Consider the following 15058-nt stretch of genomic DNA (forward strand, 5'->3'; position numbering starts at 1 on the left):
TCTCCTTCAGCATAAAAGCTGATCCACAAACAAGAGGAGCACCAGACCTCCTCTTGGCTTCGAGATGGCTTCGGTAAGTTTCCCAGGGCTTTGCATTACTGACTCTACAGCAGTTGGGCAGCTCCCCCTAGGAAAGGCCTCAGTCCAGGCTCCTGGCCTTGGGCACACAGCTCCAGAGCTCGTCTTTAGAAGGCTGTCATGGAAAACTGTATTTGTCTTTTAAAAGTGCATCTGCCCAGCTGGACAGGGAGTCCTCTGGGCAGAGTCCACCTCCTCTGCGTAACTGGCACAGTGCGGGGAGCCCGGGACTCCCATGTAGTAGAGAGCTGTGGGGTGCCGGGTGTCAAATCTACCTCAGCCTGAGGAGAAGCCAGAGTGTGGGCAGGTGGGGGACTCTGGGTTGTGGGAAGCAAGCAAATCCCAACATCGTCTGCTTCTGCTGTGACTGGGGCTCAGTCCCTTCTCGGCCCCAAACGATGCTTTCTCTCTCCTCGTTCCTCTGTGGCATCATCCAGCCTTCTAAGGTGCATTCTAATCTCAGCAGCTTTCTGAAAACTGAAATTTCTCCTCCTATCAGCCCAGATGTACCGATTGGCAGAAGCTCTAGGGAGAGCAGGCTGAGCTCGGTGGTGTGTGACTAAAAAGGAACAGCGGGGCTCAGGCTATTACTAGAAACAAAACCATTCCGGGAAGGAGTCCTGCAAATTCTGGAGGGCAGCCCACTCCAACAGCACCACCTGATCCTGGGGAAGGGCTTTACTGCTGCCAAAACAAATCAGGGCTTTTAACAGGGAGCCCAGGCCAAAGCTCATATCTCACTGGCCACCAGCTGAGGTTGCCAGTACCTTGACTGTGGTTTTAGACATTCAGCATTGCAGTTAAAAGCCCCTCTCTCTCCCCACATGGAAACCATCTCCTGTGGTGCCCTGACATACAGAGGAGGAGCTGGGAGGGAGTCCTGGCCCTGCTCCTTTCTCCTCCCTCTTCCTTGTCTATTTCCTTGCCCCATTCTACGCCAGGCCCTTCACTGGGTCCTGGAGGTGCAGGGAGGGAGGAGCACACAGGATCCTGCCTGCCTGGAGCTCACAGCCCAGAGGGGCACAGGGAGGCACAGGGAATTGCAGCTCAACTTGACCCCTGCAGAGAGCAGCAGAGGCCCCCGGGGACCCAGGTCCTAGGAGTGGGGTGGCGGGTCAGCTGAGCCAGGCTGGGGCCATCAGGGCAGCTTCTCAGGTGAGGGGGTTTGAGGGAGGGGAAGAGGAAGAGTGGCTGCAGGGAAGTGATGGAGGCAGGGAGAACCAGATGTGCAGAGCAGCAGAGACCAGAGCCAGGGCAGTAGTGAGGGGCTGGGATGTCACTCAGTGGGCCTGTGGGTGCAGAGCCCAGGGAGGGAGAGGAGGGTGAGGAAGGGCCAGTCAGGAAGGGCCTGGGAGCTGCCCACAGGGTGTGTCCTGGGCCCTGAGGTCAGAGGACGGTCATGGCCAGATGTGCCCTTGGGAAGGCCACCATGGGTTCTGAGGAGTTGGATATGGAGTGGCAGGGACAGGAGGCAGGGGCTGGTCAGGGGGTTGTGGGGGTCACAGAGGCAGGCATGGGGCTGCCTGAACCAAGTCAGTGGATGGGATATTGACAAGCACACCAACAAGGAGAAGCTTCCGGAGTCCACATTGATTGGTTTTAGTGACTGGATATTGGCATGAGGAAGAGGGCAAAGGAGAGCAGACCCCAGGTCTATGATGGGACATCCTGGGATGAGGGAGGAGGAGGCTGTCACCCACTGAGGACAGGGACAGAGAGGGTGAAAATGGAAAAATCCTCCAGTCATGAGGCTGCTATGCCCTGGGGCAGGACATGGAGAAGTGGGAAGGAGGTGAGGAAGGGGAAGAAGGTGGCCAAGACAGGAACCAGGGTGAGGGGTGTGCAGGGAAGAACCAGCTCGGCCTCCTTCCAGCTGAGTGTTCTCAGGAAAGCCCTGCCACCTCTCTGATCCTCAGTTTCCCCATCTGTGCAATGGGATGATCATGCCTTCCCCTGGGGCTGTGGAGATGGTGCAGTTATTGTAGGACAAGTTCCCACAGAGGCCTGTTCTGTGAGTGCAGAGCCCCCTCAGTGCTGGGAGCTGGGGGGCCCCACAAGACCCCACTCAGGTCCCAGCAGGATGCTGTGAGCTCCTGTCTCCCAGGGTGTCATCTCCAAGAGATAGGTGTCCTGAGGCTGGATGGGGCAAGGTCTGAGGAGGAGGTGGCTCTTGGGGCCATGGAGAGGCACAGGGCAGGAGTGATGAGGAACTGAGGGTCAGTCTGCAGAGGGCGGAGAGCTCAAGACTCACCTTCCCAGCCTTGCTCCTGGCCTCAGTGAAGGTGCTGGTTCATGCAGGCTCTTGAGTCGGCCTACTGAGGAGCATGTGTACAATGCACACATGCACACACATCTGCATCCTCAGCATGCACACACACAGCACACACATGTCACACATGCGCCCAGACGGTCCTTCTGTCTCCCATCCCACAAGATCATTCTCCAGGCTTCCAGCCCCCAGTGCCCCCACTGAGAAGAGCCTCTGAAAGTGACAGCAGGGCTGAGGATCTCATGGGGCTAGCAGCTGATGAACATCAGCAAGGCGTCTCCAGGATGAGCTGCAGCTCCCCCAGCCAGGGTCTCTGCTGTTGCCTAGAAGGCCGGGTACTCCATCTCTGGCTTTTCTGTTGCAGCCACACCAAGAGCCCAAACCTGGAGACCTGATTGAGATTTTCCGCCTTGGCTATGAGCACTGGGCCCTGTATATAGGAGATGGCTACGTGATCCATCTGGCTCCTCCAAGTAAGGACTGATGAATATATAATTTTCAAAATATTTGTTAAAAGGATAATGAGAGGGCCGGGCACGGTGGCTCATGCCTGTAATCCCAGCACTTTGAGAGGCCGAGGTGGGCAGATTACCTGAGGTCAGGAGTTCAAGACCAGACTGACCAACATGGAGAAACCCCATCTCTACTAAAAATACAAAATTAGCCAGGTGTGGTGGCACACACCTGTAATCCCAGCTACTCAGGAGGCTGAGGCAGGAGAATCACTTGATCCCCGGAGGCAGAGGTTGCAGTGAGCCGAGATCGTGCCATTGCACTCTAGCCTGGGCAACAAGAGCAAAACTTGATCTCAAAAAATAAAAAAATAAGTCAATGAGAGCCACTGAAAGACAGTTAAGCAAGGGAAACTTGAGTTAGGAGACACATTCTTCTTAGAGGATGCTTGATGAGATTGCACACACATATGTCCCATGAAGTAGACACAGTGCATTCCATAGGTCCTGGCAGAACGGAAGAAGAGACCGTTGCCTCCCGCAGCGAAGCTGGGCTGCTTCAGCATTGGGATCTCTCCAGCTCAAAGTCAGTTACCTTGGCATGCAGAATCTCATACGACTTAAACCAGCCAGGTTTCTTAGGTCTTAAAGAAGAAAGTTTCTCAAAAGGAACAATGTTTCTCCGTGCCAGATCCTTTGCCTCATATGTTTTCACACAACAAGGTGTCTTGATATTATATACTTAAGATTCCTTACTGGGAGCAATTCTCACAGGTTTATACATTTTTTTAAAATTCTCATACAAATACACAGTAAGCAATACCAATGTTTTATTTAACTCATTAATAACAGAAGCAGAAATATGACATACCCAGTTAAAAGCAGAATGAAGGAAACGTATGTATGGATAGCCAATGAAAGGGGAAAAAACGAACACAGAGGCCAGGCACAGTGGCTCACTCCTATAATCCCAGCACTTTGGGAGGCCAAGGCGGACGGATCACTTGAGGTCAGGAGTTCAAGACGAGCCTGGCCAACATGGTGAAACCCCGTCTCTATTAAAAATACAAAAATTAGCTGGGGGTGGTGGCAGGCATCTGTAATCCCAGCTACTCAGGAGGCTGAGGCAGGAGAATTGCTTGAACCTGGGAGACGGAGGTTGCAGTGAGCCGAGATCCTGAGACAGTGCCACTGCACTCCAGCCTAGGAGACAGAGGAAGACATTGTCTCAAAAAACAACAACAAAAATGCAGAAATGAGACAATGAGACTGCCAAATTAGGTAGGTGCAGGCAAGTTCATATCCTCTAGGGCAGTGCCACTACATAACTTCTCATGTTCTCTTTTCACCAAGCATTTACATTGTCACTGGACAAAAACCATTCCCATCACTATCAGGGCAAGACATTTGCATCTTATCAGTTTTCTCCAAGCCATCATCTCCCAGGCAGGATTGTAAAAATGTCTGAATTGATGGAAAATAGTAAATCAAGCCCACTTAATCCAGATGATCCTCAGGGACCTTGTAAGACAAAGCATGGCAATGAAGACACATGGTCCTTTTTGTGCCTAACTTGCAGTGTGTAAAGAGGCTTTTTTTTTTTTTTTAAGACAGAGTCTTGCTCTGTCACCGGGATGGAGTACAGTGGTGCAATCTCAGCTCACTGCAACCTCCGCCTCCCAGTTTCAAGCGATTCCCCTGCATCAGCCTCCCGAATAGCTGAGGCTACAGGCGCATGCCACCACAGCCAGCTAGTTTTTTGTATTTTAGTAGACATGGGGTTTCACCATGTTGGCCAGGATAGTCTCGATCTCCTGACCTCGTGATCCACCAGCCTCGGCCTCCCAAAGTGCTGGGATTACAGGCATGAGCCACCGCGCTCAGCCGTAAAGAGGCTTTTTAAAGACAATTTTTCTCTCTTTCCTTTTTTTTTTTTTTTTTCCTCTGAGACAGTGTCTTACTCTGCCATCCAGGCTGGTGTACAGTGATGTGATTACAGCTCACTGCAGTCTTTTTTTTTTTTTTGCATAAACATTCTGATTTAATAAATGGTATGAATATATATTTTGCATACTTTACAATAAAGAAAATTTTGAAAGAAAATTGATCTAAAACTGTTTCCCTCCAATTTCCATGGTAAAGTCAACTGCATACAGTTCTTTCCATGTATAAGTTTTACATTTGTATTTTCTACAATTAAATAAATCTAAATGTTAAATTTTAGCACATATATCCAATTATGTACAAAATTACAATGTCAATTTATAAGTCAAGCTTACTTAAAAATCATAAATTACAAAAAACACATTATGAATAATTTTGTTCTGGAAGTATCATACCAACTCATACGATCTAGGTGAACCCAAAAGTAAAAAACAATGATTATAAATTACAGTAGTGTCTGTAAAACCCTGTTATAAAGGAGGTATTCTTTTAAAATATGTACCTTATATATAAAAGCTCCTGACTCCTTTTAAGGACCAAAATTATTTTCAGTTTAACCATTTTCATTAAAATGCTTATTTAAAAGTATCGCCTTATAAAACTGAGTATATAAAATACAATGCAGCCCTTGATAACTAAGAATCTTTATAAATGCTAATTATTTAGTGACCTGTTTATCAAACTATTTCTGTGGATGGGGTGATTTTTTTTCTTCCTCTAAATTAAGTGGCCCTAGACTAATATATTTATATAGTTATTCTGTTTTCTTCCGTACTGTCATTTCACATCTCTATCAGTGAGTTCCTCAGGATTTGCCTTTATTTTACAACTATGAAAGTCTTCAATCCAATTCCCTGCTTCCACACATAGGACACAGAAAGCCTAAACTTTCCTTTTTTCTGGGCTCCAATGGGAAGCAGCATTTACAACGTGTCTGGCTTGGTAGGAGGAAGATTGTCAATTGAGGTATCATGTGTGTTCACCTGCCTATCTTGCCCTATTTCTTTGGTTGCTGTAAATTTCCTGCTTCTCAAATATCTGGATTTTTGGCTACCTATTTGGCTTCCGTCTTTGGTGTTTATATCTGTCTGGTTTTAGCAGGTCTCTCTGATTCCTGACTCACAGCTCCTCTCCTTCACTAATATTCAAGTGTGCTGCTTGCCTAACTCCTCATTCCTTCTCCTTGAATTTCACTTTACAATTGCACTAGGTTCTATCATCGTTGGCCACAGATTACCACAAAACATAATTTCTTAAATTCTGCACATTTCTAATGCTTCTAATCTTGGTTTCCTACAAGATCTAACACTAAGCTTGTGTTATCCTGATTACAGTGTATGTAAAACAATGCTTGTGGAAAACTAACCTAGGAGAAAGCTTATAGGGGAAACCTGATAATGAATTTTATTAAATTAATAACCCTTATAAAAATTTCAAATGTAATACTACCTGGATTTGAACTTCAATACTTTTCTTAAGTAAAATTCTTAACCACGGTAGAAGTTATGTTTGTTGATGTTCACTCATCTATACCCTCCATATTCTCAGCAAAGTTGGCATAAATCTGACCTGAATAAATAGGGTTATAACATTATCAGGCTTGTAAAATACTTTATCAAATCAATGCATCAGTTAAAGCAGGGGTCCCCAACCCTGGGCTGTGTGTGGCCTGTTAGGAATCGGGCCACACAATAGGTGAGCTGAGAGGCAGGTGAGTGAGCATTCTGCCTGAGCTCCGCCTCTTGTCAGATCAGTAGTAGCATTAGATTCTCATAGGAGTGCAAACCCCATTGGGAACTGCACATGCAAGGGATCAGGCTCACTGCAGTCTTGACCTCCCCGAGTTCAGGCCAGGTGATCCTCCCACATCAGCCTTCTGAATAGCTGAGACGAGATGATAGGCGTGTGCCACCACGCGCAGCTAATTTTTGTATTTTTTGTAGAGACAGGTCTCGCCATGTTGTCCAGGCTGGTCTCGAACTCCTGAGCTCAAGTGGTCCACCTGTTTAGGCCTCCCAAAGTGCTGGGATTACAGGCATGAGCCACTGCGCCCAGCCAACAGGATTTTCTTAAGAGGGTTCTAAATGCAAACATCAGCCTTGAGATTAGAAACGGGGCAAAAGAGGTAACACACCTAATTATTGTGTGCATTAGGTACTATCCATTTTAATAAAAATAAGATAACACCTGGAGTCACTATATAATGGAATTGGGGCTCCATTGGTTGACAGCTCTTCTGTGTTCCTCTCTATGTGCCTAGAACTGTGCCAGATTGTAGGACAGAAGACACTTTACAAAGGATTCCCTCAGGGTCAGCCCAGTGCAGTGGAAGGAGCCTGCCCTTTGGGGCTTAAGAGAAGCAGTTTCACATCCTGATTCTAGGACTTTTCATAGCACAGAAAAGTCTCATGATGTCTCTCAGCCCAATATTGGTTTTTAAATTGAGATGATAATATTTTCCTTGAAAGTTAAAAAGGAGATTAAATTAGGAAGTATGTGTAACAGCACAGCATGGTAACTGAAACAGTGGGTACTAAACGAATTGGATCTTTTTCCGAAACACAAGTGTACAAAGCTGAACAGGTAATAAATATGCTTTACCATCATTGTTTATAATGATGAAAATTTTTCCAATACCTAAATGACGGATAACAGGGGATTGGCCACAGAAGTGATGTACATGCATAGCATGGAATATGGCAGCAGCCACTGGCAATCATGACATTCACTGACTTGAACGAACATTCACACCTTATTTTATTAAAAAAAGAGAGCAAAATCTATTAGCCCGGCGTGGTGGTGGGTGCCTGTAGTCCCAGCTACTCGGGAGGGTGAGGCAGGAGAATGGCGTGTACCCAGGAGATGGAGCTTGCAGTGAGCTGAGATCGCGTCACTGCACTCCAGCCTGGGCAACAGAGTGAGACTCCATCAAAATAAAAAAAAAAAGCAAAATCTGTGAATCCTTCAATCACATTTGTGAAAGGATAAACACCAGTAGTTCCTTAGTGGAGATTTCAAGCCCTTCTCTCCCTACTTCACCTTCCCCTGCCAGTGAGAGTGCCTCTGATTGCAGGTGAGTACCCCGGGGCTGGCTCCTCCAGTGTCTTCTCAGTCCTGAGCAACAGTGCAGAGGTGAAACGGGAGCGCCTGGAAGATGTGGTGGGAGGCTGTTGCTATCGGGTCAACAACAGCTTGGACCATGAGTACCAACCACGGCCCGTGGAGGTGATCATCAGTTCTGCGAAGGAGATGGTTGGTCAGAAGATGAAGTACAGTATTGTGAGCAGGAACTGTGAGCACTTTGTCACCCAGCTGAGATATGGCAAGTCCCGCTGTAAACAGGTAAGGACCTCTCTGGATAATCCATCTCCCTCTGCTTGGGGCTGGACTCACGGGGCTGTGCAGCCAGGCGATCACTGTGAATGATGCAAATGCAGCCTCTTAGAGACCTGCTGGCTGAGAGTCAGGACCTCTGAGCTCCAATGCCAGATCTGCTTCTAATCCACAGAGGGTCTTTGGACAGTTCCCTTCCCCCCAGGCCTCTCCATGTGCAGAGGAGGGGGTGGATGGAGGAGCTCTGAGGATCCTTCCCCTCTAAAACCTATCCTGAAAATGGCTCCTGAAGTTCTGGGGGTCATCAGGAGAATCTGGGCCAACCCAGGACAATGACAGGTCCTGCAACCCCCCAAAGAGTACTCAGGCAAGGGACGCTCAGGGTCCGTGGACCTGTGTAAGAGCTCAAGGACATTTGTGTGTAAGATCTGGGCACAGCCTCCATCCCTTGCCCCTTCACAGTCTTTCACATTTGTTGCCCCAAAACACTCAACTAATAAGTGGCAGAACCGGGATTTGAACCCCAGCTGTCCCTTTCTAGAGTCTCTGCCTGTGATGCCTACTCAGGGCCCCTGGCCTGCGTGACTGAATGGTTGGGGGCCCTTGATGAGAGAGGGATGGTGGCAGGAGTAGAGGCTTTGCGGAGGGAAATCCAGAGTTTGGCGTGGCATGTGATGTCTGAGGTGCCCCATTAGAGGCCCAGGTGGAGATAAGGCATGGAGTTTAGGCTGAAGTACAGCTGGAGATGGAAGTTTCCAGGCTGCAGTTGGGAATAGTACACAGTGACCCCAGGGCACGCATATGGCCATGGCCTCCCTAAGTCTCCCCTCAGCTTCTGCCACAGCCCTCCCTGTGCAAAGGTGTAGCTCAGGGAGGACCCAGACTGCAAAATAGTCCCCAGTCTGGCCCCTGGAGCTCTGACCCTAGGAAGCGAGGCACAAACCTTCTTCCTTGCCCCAAATCAGAACAAATGTCCTCACTTGGAAGCTCTCTCAAAAGGACCTCATGGGCCCATTCTCAGGACAAGCCCAGACAAGTCGAACACCAAGAAGTGGTCACAGCCCAGAAAATGGAGTCCCTGGGGATACAACCAACGGCTTCTCTGGGAGAGGATTCTGAGCCAGCCAGCTGGGAGAGAAGAGAGGAGATGCCAGGCCTTAGGGGAGGCAGGAGAGAGGGGAGAGGGAGAGGAGTTCCAGGCCCTTGGGAGGGAGAAAGTGCCAGCCTGGCTTGCCGTGAACGCTCAACAAAAGCTGCTTGCTTTGCAGGTGGAAAAGGCCAAGGTTGAAGTCGGTGTGGCCACGGCGCTTGGAATCCTGGTTGTTGCTGGATGCTCTTTTGCGATTAGGAGATACCAAAAAAAAGCGACAGCCTGAAGCAGCCACAAAATCCTGTGTTAGAAGCAGCTGTGGGGGTCCCAGTGGAGATGAGCCTCCCCCATGCCTCCAGCAGCCTGACCCTCGTGCCCTGTCTCAGGCGTTCTCTAGATCCTTTCCTCTGTTTCCCTCTCTCGCTGGCAAAAGTATGATCTAATTGAAACAAGACTGAAGGATCAATAAACAGCCATCTGCCCCTTCAGAAAGGACTTCTACCATGTTTTTATAGACTTCTGAATCACAAAGGAGGAAGGTAACATTGAGTGAACACTCACTGGGTAGTTCCAGCAATTTCTAGCCGGGTGACTTTAGAGAAGGCTCTTGATTCTCAGAACCTCAGTTCTTCCATGTCAGGTGATGTCAGGAGGATCACCTACGATAATGCATACACGACACCCAGCACTATGTCTGATATGTAACAGATGTTCAAGGAATTGTCTTCATCATTCTACACAGACATAACAGCGACATAATTGCATGTCATTAATTTTACTCTCAGGGAGGCGAAAAAAACCTAATTACCTTCCGGTATCGTCTCATGTGGTGCTTAAATCCCCTCACAACACCTACACATCTACCAGCATCTTCCCAGTTACCTTCCTCAGTTGGCCCTCTTTTTAGAAAGTTTTTTTTTTTTAGCTCAAAGGTCTGAGTTCTCACCCACCTGTGACTACTAGATGGAGTAATATTCTTTCCATGCCCAGATTGCCATGGCTCAAGCTGGTCCTGGGTGGAATGCTGAGAATTAGCTACCTCTAAATCTCCCTCCACTACTTCCAGCATGCCCTGGGTATGGCTCCAGAAGTGCCCAGGTCCCCATGTTTCTGTGCTTCCTCACTCCAGCCTCTGCCACCAGTGACCCTACTCAGTGGCCACTTCCATGGTGGTCACTGTGGCCACCACCACTCTGGCTTCAGGACTGAGGACATCACCCTCCCCTGGGTTGTACTTTTTCATGCATGAGCAAGCTGGTTGGTCCCTTAATTCCCCAACACAGTGGAGACCAGGCTGTAATGATTAACGACACTCCCCTGGAAGCTCAAGGCTATTGGAAGGTTGAAGAACAAAGAGAATAACTTATCATTGCTACAATTAGAGGGGGCTCTGCTCAGATTCCTGGCTGAAATACCAGGCTCCATTTGGGGATTGCAGAAGCATCCATGCCTGCCTTGCTCCAGGGCTACCTCCACAGCAGAGGGCCCAGCTGTTCTACCCAGAGTCCAGGCCTAAAAGGCAGAAGGCCCAGCAAGAGAAGAAGGCTTTCTCACTTCTTGTGATCTAAGGCTCACCTCCCCAGACTTCATTACCTGTCCAGGATCAATTGTTCCAGGGTGCTGGACAATGGGAGCATCCAGGCCCTTCCAAGGTGTGTTTGACCTCCATGACTAGGTCAGATCCCCATTAGGAGTCTCAGGTGTCCATGTGTCTGCACTTCATGTGATTCTCACAGTTGCAATGAACACTGATCCATGTGGTTATTTTACTAATGTGCCTTTCCCTGCCAGTATTTTGGGGACAGTCCAAGTTTGGTACCATTGGGACTCTAGCATCAAGCACAATGCTTAACTTACTATAACCACTCGATAGATGATGGATTACAAGCATGCACCTGTAATCCCAGCTACTTGGGAGGCTGTGGCAGGAGGATTACTTGAGCCCAAGAGTTTGAGATCAGCTTGGGCAACATAGTGAGACCCCATCTCTCAAAAAGGAAAAAAAGATAGTGGTTTACTTAATTAATAAATCTATTAACTGATATGTAGAAAAACAGGGCCAGGCACAGGGGCACACACCTGTAATCCCAGTACTTTGGGAGACCAAAGGAGGATCTCTTGAGCCCAGGAGTTCAAGACCAGCCTAGGCAACATAGTAAGACCCTGTCTCTACAAAAAAATAAAAATTAAAAATAAAAAAAGATTAGCCAGGTGTGGTGGTGCATGACAGAGCAGGAGCATCGCCATCTTGGACAAATACCAACATTCTGTGTTCCTCTTGATTAAAAACTGCCTAAATCCAGCCCCAGAACGTCAGTCCCAGAACATCAGGGCATTTCCCTATGCTGGGAAACCAACTCCCAGCATAACCAGAAACATTCCAACCCTAAGATAAAACCCTTTCCAACCAGAAACATGCCAACCCCAAGATAGCCTCCCCTCTGACGAGAGACATTCTAACCCTACAATAAACTTTCCCTCACATAGAAACATTCCGAACCTACAATGATCTTCCCACTTCCTAAACTCTTAAATATCCTTAGTCTGTTAGAACACTCCTGACCAAAATCAACCAGAAGCCCTTCTCAGGTTTATTCTCTAAATAAACCTGTCTTTGGCTGTTGAGCCCCTTTTTGTGTTTCTTTCCTCTTTAATTCTTACAGCGTGTGCCTATAGTCCCTGCTACTCAGGAGGCTGAGGCGGGAGGATCATTTGAGCCCAGGATTTCTGCAGTGAGCTATGATCAAAAAGAGTACAAGTAAAAAATAAAAATATAAAACATGACCACTGTTCTCAAAAAAATAAAAATAAAAAACATGACCACTCTTCTCAAAAAAATGTTGTGGCCACCACAGTAAAGGTTAATGCCCACCAGAATTGTGTTGCTATGAAGTTGAGAAATACACTGAACCAGTTCCAGACCTCTCTGGACTGACTTCCATGAACTAGATTTCACTAAATATGGAATATATATATATGTATATATACACACACACACATACACACACACATATATAATACATATTTTATATATAATTATATATATATGTAACAAAAGCATACTTCATTTTTTCATAAGTTCATTAAATGGTTGTACCACCTCTGGACAGTCCTTGGTCTCAGCAAATCTTTTTGCTAAGATTAAAAGTAGCTGAAGGCTGGGCACAGTGGCTCACACCTATAATATCAGCACTTTGGGAGGCCGAGGCAGGGGCATCACCTAAGATCAGGAGTTCGAGACCACCCTGGCCAACGTGGCAAAACCCCATCTCTACTAAAAACACAAAAATTAGCCAGACATGGTGGCGGGCGCCTGTAGTCCCAGCTACTCAGGAGGCTGAGATACAATAATTACTTGTACCCAGTGACGGAGGTTGCAGTGAGCCAAGATCGTGCCACAGTACTCCAGCCTGGACAACAGAGAGAGACGTTGTCTCAAAAAATAAATAAAAGTGGCTGAAGAGAGCATGCATATATTCCTTCCACAAGCTGTTTTTCAGCTTAAGAAATTTTTAAGAAAACTGATTGGTGCTGGAGAAACAGGAATCCTGGGCTGTGTGTGGTAGTACTCGATTGTCCTTTGTCGTTTGTGTCACTCTCGAAGACAGCATCCCTCTCCCCACCCAGGAGTGACGGGACAGCTGGCAGGACACAGAGAAGCCCTAGTGCTGCCCTCCTGCCTCATGGACAATGAAATGTTTTGCTTATGTGCATCCACCAGAAAGTGCTCTGAAGGTGTTTGGGATCTGAGACAACCAGGACACAGAAGGAACAGGAGCAGGGGAGCTCTCAGTGCTGCCTGCCCTATTGTCCTCTTTCCTGGGTGGCTTAAAGTCTCCTTTTGGGGTAAGAGAAAATAATTTAAGACATTAGTAGGGAGGGTCTTAGTTCCTGCAAAGATCTACTCAAACCATCAGGAGGTCCCATGGTTGGACCTGGCCCTTCCTGCAGAGCCCTGACCCTTGGCACTCAAGACACAGGAGAAGAAGGAAGCCGTCATGATGGGCCAGGGATAGGGCCCTGGGATCTGTCTCTAGCCCATCAAAGAAAGGTGAGAGGTGACAGCGTGCTGGCAGTCCTCACAGCCCTCGCTCGCTCTCGGCGCCTCCTCTGCCTGGGCTCCCACTTTGGTGGCACTTGAGGAGCCCTTCAGCCCACCGCTGCACTGTGGGAGCCCCTTTCTGGGCTGGCCAAGGCCGGAGCCCACTCCCTCAGCTTGCAGGGAAGTGTGGAGGGAGAGGCACGAGCGGGAACCGGGGCTGCGTGCGGCACTTGCTGGCCAGCTGGAGTTCCGGGTGGGCGTGGGCTTGGCGGGCCCCGCACTCGGAGCAGCCAGCCGGCCCTGTCGGCCCCGAGCAATGAGGGACTTAGCACCCGGGCCAGCGGCTGCAGAGGGTGTACTGGGTCCCCCAGCAGTGCCAGCCCACTGGCGCTGCACTCGATTTCTCGCTGGGCCTTAGCTGCCTTCCCAGGGGGCAGGCCTCGGGACTGCAGCCTGCCATGCCTGAGCCTTCCCCCACCTCCGTGGGCCCCAGTGCACCCCGAGCCTCCCCGACGAGCGCTGCCCCCTGCTCCACAGCACCCAGTCCCATCAATCACCCAAGGGCTGAGGAGTGTGGGCGCACGCGCGGGACTGGCAGGCAGTTCCACCTGCAGCCCCGGTGCAGGATCCACTGGGTGAAGCCAGCTGGGCTCCTGAGTCTGGTGGGGACGTGGAGAACCTTTATGTCTAGCTCAGGGATTGTAAACACACCAATCAGCACCCTGTGTCTAGCTTAGGGTTTGTGAGTGCACGAATCATCACTCTGTATCTAGCTGCTCTGTTGGGGCCTTGAAGAACCTTTATTTCTAGCTCAGGGATTGTAAATACACCAATCGGCACTCTGTATCTAGCGCAAGGTTTGTAAACACACCAATCAGCGCCCTGTGTTTAGCTCAAGGTTTGTGAATGCACCAATCGACACTCTGTATCTAGCTGCTCTGGTGGGGCCTTGGAGAACCTTTGTGTCCATACTCTGTATCTAACTAATCTGATGGGGATGTGGAGAACCTTTATATGTAGCTCAGGGATTGTAAACGCACCAATCAGCACCCTGTCAAAACAGACCACTCTGCTCTACCAATCAGCAGGATGGGGGCGGGAGGGGCGGGAGGGGCGGGGGCCAGACAAGAGAATAAAAGGAGGCTGCCCGAGCCAGGAGTGGCAACCTGCTCGGGTCCCCTTCCACATTGTGGAAGCTTTGTTCTTTTACTCTTTGCAATAACTCTTGCTACTGCGCGCTTTTTGGGTCCACACTGCTTTTATGAGCTGTAACACTCACCGCGAAGATCTGCAGTTTCTCTCTTGAAGCCAGCAAGACCACCAGCCCACCAGGAGGAAGGAACAACTTCAGACGTGCTGCCTTAAGAGCTGTAACACTCACCGCGAAGGTCTGCAGTTTCACTCCTGAGCCAGCGAGACCACGAACCCACCAGAAGGAAGAAACTCCGAACACATCCTAACATCAAAAGGAACAAACTCCAGACGCGCCACCTTAAGAGCTGTAATGCTCACCGCGAGGGTCCGCGGCTTCATTCTTGAAGTCAGTGAGACCAAGAACCCAGCAATTCCGGACACAAAGGGATGTTAAACACAGCTTCTCCTGCCATCTCTGTTTTGGAAAGCGTGCTCAAATTGACCACAACAGCTGTTCTGTTTACACACTCCGAAGTCAAAATCACTAGCCGCATTCTCAGGCTACATGATCTCCATAGTTCCCGGGAGGTGGGCAGTTTTAATACTGTGTGGACGGAAACTAGATTCAGAGTCTAAGCCACTGACCCAAGGTCACACAGCCACTAAGCAAAAGCTCTGGATTCCCTTCCAGTCAATTTGACCTAAAAGTCAGTTTT

General features: G+C 48.8%; 1 protein-coding gene across 1 annotated transcript, besides 1 other annotated feature; it reads left to right on the top strand.

Moving 5' to 3' along the window:
• Positions 4-9654, top strand: PLAAT4 (phospholipase A and acyltransferase 4). The gene is made up of 4 exons (NM_004585.5): positions 4-73; positions 2712-2820; positions 7817-8085; positions 9345-9654. Exons 1-4 carry the CDS (start codon positions 65-67, stop codon positions 9450-9452), a joined length of 495 nt encoding a protein of 164 aa, NP_004576.2. The 5' UTR covers positions 4-64; the 3' UTR covers positions 9453-9654.
• Positions 8345-9544: an enhancer, noted in NCBI's record as "MED14-independent group 3 enhancer chr11:63312621-63313820 (GRCh37/hg19 assembly coordinates)". NCBI's record gives its function as "activates an origin of replication core promoter dependent on BRD2, BRD4, P300/CBP and CDK7 cofactors, and independent of MED14, by STARR-seq in HCT116 cells {active_cell/tissue: HCT116}" and the evidence as "EXISTENCE:reporter gene assay evidence [ECO:0000049][PMID:35650434]".
• Positions 9655-15058: the final 5404 nt, after the last annotated feature.

Source organism: Homo sapiens, chromosome 11, assembly GCF_000001405.40.
Source record: "Homo sapiens chromosome 11, GRCh38.p14 Primary Assembly".
Lineage (NCBI taxonomy): Eukaryota > Metazoa > Chordata > Mammalia > Primates > Hominidae > Homo > Homo sapiens.

What these genes read in the sequence shown, in the direction of transcription:
- PLAAT4 (NM_004585.5), top strand. An exon ending in GATCCATCTGGCTCCTCCAA is followed by an intron (nt 2,821 to 7,816) that starts GTAAGGACTGAT and finishes CTCTGATTGCAG; the next exon opens with GTGAGTACCCCGGGGCTGGC. An exon ending in GCAAGTCCCGCTGTAAACAG is followed by an intron (nt 8,086 to 9,344) that starts GTAAGGACCTCT and finishes CTTGCTTTGCAG; the next exon opens with GTGGAAAAGGCCAAGGTTGA.